This window comes from Homo sapiens, chromosome 6, assembly GCF_000001405.40.
Source record: "Homo sapiens chromosome 6, GRCh38.p14 Primary Assembly".
NCBI lineage: Eukaryota > Metazoa > Chordata > Mammalia > Primates > Hominidae > Homo > Homo sapiens.
The window spans coordinates 124,883,809-124,889,556 of NC_000006.12; the positions used below are offsets into that span (position 1 = coordinate 124,883,809).

A 5,748-nucleotide genomic window follows, 5' to 3' on the forward strand; every position below is an offset into this window, starting at 1 on the left:
AAAGGGCGGAAGGAGGGAGAGGGACAAAAGTGGAAAAACTACCTACTGGGTACTATGTTCACTATTTGGGGCTCAATAGAAGCCCCAAACTCAGCAGCATGCACTTTACCCATGTAAAAAACCTGCACAAGTACCTCTTGAATCTTAAAAAAAAAAAAAAAAAAAAAATCTAGCCAGGTGTGGTGTGTGGTGGCTCACACCTGTAATCCCAGCACTTTGGGACGCTGCGGCGGGCGGATCACGAGGTCAAGAGATCAAGATCATCCTGGCCAACACGATGAAACCCTGTCTCTACTAAAAATACAAAAATTAGCTGGGCATGGTGGCGTGTGCCTATAGTCCCAGCTACTCAAGGGACTGAGGCAGGGGAATCGCTTGAACCCAGGAGGCAGGGGTTGCAGTGAGCCGAGATTGTATCACTGCACTCCAGCCTGGTGACAGAGTGAGACTCCATCTCAAAAAAAAAAAAAAAAAAAAAAAAAAAAAAATCCTTACAGCTGTTCACGGCTCCCTTAGGCAAATGGTCTCTCTCTCTTTCTCTCTCTGTCTCTCTCTCTTTTCCCATCACATCCTGGGAAGCTGTCTCTTATATTGGCACTCACCTGGATATAAATTATAGAGGCACTTACTCTTCTGTCGTCCCCTGATTTAAAATAAAAAAAGAAAAATAAACAAAGATTCAGGCTAGCTGATATTCCACAGTGTTTTTTTTTTTAAAAAAAAAAAAAGATAGCAGAGAGATTTTTAAAAAACATCTTTGAAGAATATTCATTCATAGCCTGGCTAGCAAAAATGAGAAGCTAGAGGCTGCATACTTAGTCCTTATACACATTTGCTTGACAGAAAATGTTACAACTGGTATAATATGTAGTGTACTTGTAGGCAACTAAGTTCTTACAAAGCTCCTAATTTAGAACAGCATTTCTCAGTGTTTTGTTAAACAATAGCACCCCTAGATACATTACAATAGAGAGAGAAGAGGCTCTTGTCAAGAAAATTTAAACTGCTTTATACCATGTACATACATCTCTTGGAGATTTATAACGTACATTCGGGTAGGAAAAACAATACTAGAAAAGCCACCTTAATTCTTTTTAACCACATTTTTCCCAAAGTTGACAATGAAATTCTTTTTAAACATAATTCTTACTAATATTCTACAGAACCTGTGTTTTATTAAACTCCCCTTTAGGAATCACAAATTTAGAGCATATCTAAACTGCACTAGAAGAAAAGAGTCTAATCAGATTAAAAGCATTTGGCATTCATTTCTAAGATTATAAATTATGTATATTTTTCCCAATTAATCTAATCCCCTTGGCTTGCTATAATGCTTGCTACTACTTTAAAGTAAATGATATCCAGCGGCTTTATTGTTCTTCCACACATATTCTTCCACTGAAGTAACTGAATGATTCCACCACCACAGGTGATCCAAAACATAAGGTGTATGCCTTATCAGAGAATGAGACACCAAAAACTAGCTCACTCTCGTTGAACTGTTGAAGTCAACTGTACATCAACTATTTGAAAAATGGAAAAACTAGAGCAAATTCTTTGGAGACATAAACAAACTTTGCTAGTTTGCTTACTCATCCTTAGGCCTGTCCTCATACCTCAGCCCTTTTCCAATTCACCTCACACCAATCATATAGTCATTTCTTTCTTCAGCAGGCAGTAGGTTTATAGATTAAATGATGCTTGGTATTAAAATATCTGGAGGCTGTCACCCACCCACAGAGATTATTGAGGCAGGATCCTTTACCTCAATGAGCTTAAAAACTAGAAGCAGAGAAAATGCATAAACAATGAATGGAGTAATACCCATTATGGTAGGAGTTTCTAGGAAGTTCTCTGCAAGCCCGGTGGAAAGTGGCTCAGTGCTATGAACTGAATGTTTGTGTCTCCCCAAACTTCACATGTTGATATCCTAACCCCTAGTGCAACGATATTAAGAGGTGGGGTGGGAGATAATTTAGATCATGAAGGTACAGCCCTAAAACAATGGGATTTGTGCCTTTCTAAAAGGGACTCCAGAGTACTCTCTTGCTCTCTTTCTGCCTGAGGAACCAAGGAGAAGTCAGTCTGCAGCCTGGAACAGGGCCCTCAGCAGACCCTGACTATGTGGGCACACTGATTTCAGACTTCTGGTCTCTAGAACTGGGAGGAGTAAATTTCTGTTGTTTATAAACCACCCAATCTACGATATTTTATTACAGCAACCCTAATTGACTAAGATTCTCAACCTCGGCCAGGCGCGGTGGCTCATGCCTGTAATCCCAGCACTTTGGGAGGCCGAGGCGGGTGGATCACGAGGTCAGGAGATCGAGACCATCCTGGCTAACACTGTGAAACCCCGTCTCTACTAAAAATACAAAAAAAATAGCTGGGCGTGGTAGCAGGCGCCTGTAGTCCCAGCTACTCGGGAGGCTGAGGAAGGAGAATGGCGTGAACCCGGGAGGCGGAGCTTGCAGTGAGCCGAGATGGCGCCACTGGACTCCAACCTGGGGGACAGAGCCAGACTCCGTCTCAAAAAAAAAAAAAAAAGGATTCTCAGCTTCAGCCTCAGGGAGGTCCAGAAGGTTCACAAGGAGGTGAAATTAGATGTGGATCTTGAAGAATGAGTAAGAGTCTACCAAACAGAATATAGGAAGAAGGCTCCAGACAATGCAAACTGCGTATTGCACACAGAGGTATCAAACACAATTGTGCATTTGGAGCTTTCCGCATGGTTGAAATGGAGAGTACATGTTAAAACTGGCAGGTGATGAGACTGGAAAGGTAAGCTGGGGGCAGCCGATGAGGAACATCCCTTTGCAAGTTAAGCAATTCAGACTTTCCAGGGGAGGTAAGAGCCACAGGAAACCTTTAACCAGAAAACTGACATGAGGATGCTGTCCATCTTCTTTAAATTGTTTGTAAAGGGTTTCCCTTAGTTTATCTTTTTAGAATCTTAAATCAGACTTATTGCCTCTGACTCCCGTCTTACATTCTCTAATGCACACAGCAGAAACAGAAATTTTAAAAAGTCGCTAATCCATGTCTCCAATGAGAAAACTACTCTTGATTAAAGCTCTTACATAAGAATTGCTGCTCTGTTTTACTCTTAAAGTAATATACTTCTCTCGACACTTTTTGTTTTTTGTGGGAGTTACTAGTAAGGTACAGCTTCATCTACTAAAATTTTACTTTAATACCCCGAACCTTGTTGCTAGCAGTAGGGGCTGGAACTCCTCATATCCTTCTATGACAAAACAGCCTTGGTGACATTAGAAAGACACAAAATCTACCCTGGCATAAGGTACCTCCAATAGGTTTAAGCCAAAATATAAACCAATTTTGTGACACAGAAACCTAAAGAGGCTAGTACCTTGGAAACTCTTTTTCTATTTTTTCAGGCCAAGGCTGAACTTTTAGAATATTACATAGTTCTAGGGCAAACAGATTCTAGTCTGCAAAATTGCTGGTGGGTCCAAAAAAACCAGACAGGTTTAAGCTTGTTGTTGTAAGAAAAACATGTTACACAGTCCCTAAATACAGCCTAAAGCCTGTGGAAATAATATGGGAGTGCTGGGAAGGGAAGAGCGTGGTCCCTTTAAATAATACGGAAGTGGGGAAGGGAAGTGCTGGCTAGAGGAGGGCATGGTCCCTGGGTAGGGCTCCACCCCCATGGACCTAAGTAAGGATGGGCACTCCTGCCTTCGCGCCCAAATGTTGCATTTCCCAAGACCATCCTGGCCTGCCACACCCCCATCCTGTGCCCCTAAACGCCCCCCGAGACGCTAGCAGGCAGACACACAGGAGGCCAGACGTCAAGAGCAGCACATTGGCAGAAGAAGATTCAAGAGGCAGGTTGTCTAGAGTGGGCATCCAGAAGAACACACTTGTCAGCACCAGCATGCAGTCAGGCCATCCACCAGTGGGATGAGGCAGAGTTTGGCCAGGGCAGTCAGAGGAGAGCTGGGGCCCAACTCCACAGGAAGACCATCTCCCTTGTGGATCCCCCATTGGCTAAGAGCTACTTCCACTCAATAAAACTTTACACTCATTCTCCAAGCCCACAAGTGATCCGATTCTACCCGTACACTAAGGCAAGAACCCCAGGATCAGAAATCCTTCTGTCCTTGTGATAAGGAGGGGGGTCTAATTGAGCCGGTTAACACAAGCTGCCTATAGATTGGCAAACTAAGAGAGCATCCTGCAACACACGCCCCCTGGGGCTTCAGAAGCCGTAAACATTCACCCCTACACACTGCTGTGGGGTCGGAGCCCCACACCCTACCTGCCTGTATGTTCCCCTAGAGGTTTGAGCGGTCGGGGAGGGAAGAAGCGAGCCACATCCCCATCACATACCCTGCGAGGGGGACAAGGGAATCTTTCATGTTTCAGAAAGAAGGACTGAAAGGACTGCAGAAGATAAAGCTGACATTTAGCTTGTTGTCTGTTGCTTCCTGTTATACCCAGACAAATAATAATCTTCTTAGTTCATTCATTGACCATCTGTGAAATGGGAGTGAGAGTACTGCCTTCTTCACAGGCTGCATGTTAGAGCTTAAATAAGATAATATGCTCAAGGAAAAGACCTCTGGAAACAATAAGTGCTTTACAAGTTTTAGTTGTTCTTACTGAATAACTAAATGTATGCCTCAGCTCTTTTAAACCCTGGCTTAATCATTGAACCATATACCCTCTGATGTCACCTCACAAATTTGTGTGCATATCTTTCTTATATGAAAAGTCCCAATTCCAGAATTTCTATCTGGTTCACCATATTTTAGGGCCAAGGTATTTCTTGCCTTCATATTCAAGCACTAAGAGAAAAGTTTTCAGTGAGGTAGTTAAAGTTACAGATCTACTCATTTTCTATTTTTATCTCAAAGTTTTTTTCTACCCATGGTTCTCTGTGTTTTTCCTTTCCCCTAAGATCTTCCTACTAACTTTCAGAAGTGTCTGTCTTCTGGGCATTTCACACCTTACTGACACTTTCTTTTGCATTCCTCTTAACATTGCTTTTCTTTCCTCTCACTGAGCAGAGGGTCCCTTCAAACAAGGATTCTGTTGATTTTCTTCCTTCCTTGAGAAAATCCATCTGTTTCAGGTCTTTTGCTTTCTTTTTCGGTGAATGATTTACTCACTGACCCCCGGCTGCACCAAATCCCACATTTCTTCCTGTTTTCTGATGGTGACATACTCTAAGCCACCCTCTCAGTTGAAAAGCATGAACACTCAAGTGTCTGTTTCCTCTTAAGTTTTCACCAGTCACAAAAAGGACCCCTCTCAATTGCACTAGCTCTGCAGAATTACCTCTCCTTTCTCTTCTGTCTTCTAGGAGCTTTTGTTTCCTTATCACATTTAATCAGTTACCATATTTGGTTGTTATTTCATCTGTATTACCTCGGAGGTCTGCCTCTTCCTCTCAATGCGCAGAGGAATACCTGAATCAGATTTTCTCATATTTGACTTAATAGTCTCTCATTTTCTGATGAGCCACGAGTCCTCATTTTCAAGGTTTCCAATTTTTTTTTAGTTATCCCTATCAGCTTTTCTACCTTCTTATTTGTTCACATTTTCCTGCAGCCTTTCTTTTCATTCTGCAGTCAGTTCCCAGTTATTTATTTGTACGTGGTTTGGAGATCTCTCTCCAAAGCAATCTGCAAACACTATCTGTCTTCTTCATACCCTTTTCCTTTACAATCTCACTGAGAGAACTTTCTCCCACTATGTCATACCTAACTCAATTTGTAGCGT

General features: G+C 42.3%; 1 annotated feature.

Annotated features, from left to right (window-relative positions):
• Positions 5,282-5,482: a silencer, noted in NCBI's record as "peak6098 fragment used in MPRA reporter construct". NCBI's record gives its function as "represses an SCP1 promoter by STARR-seq MPRAs in K562 erythroleukemia cells {active_cell/tissue: K562}" and the evidence as "EXISTENCE:reporter gene assay evidence [ECO:0000049][PMID:32103011]".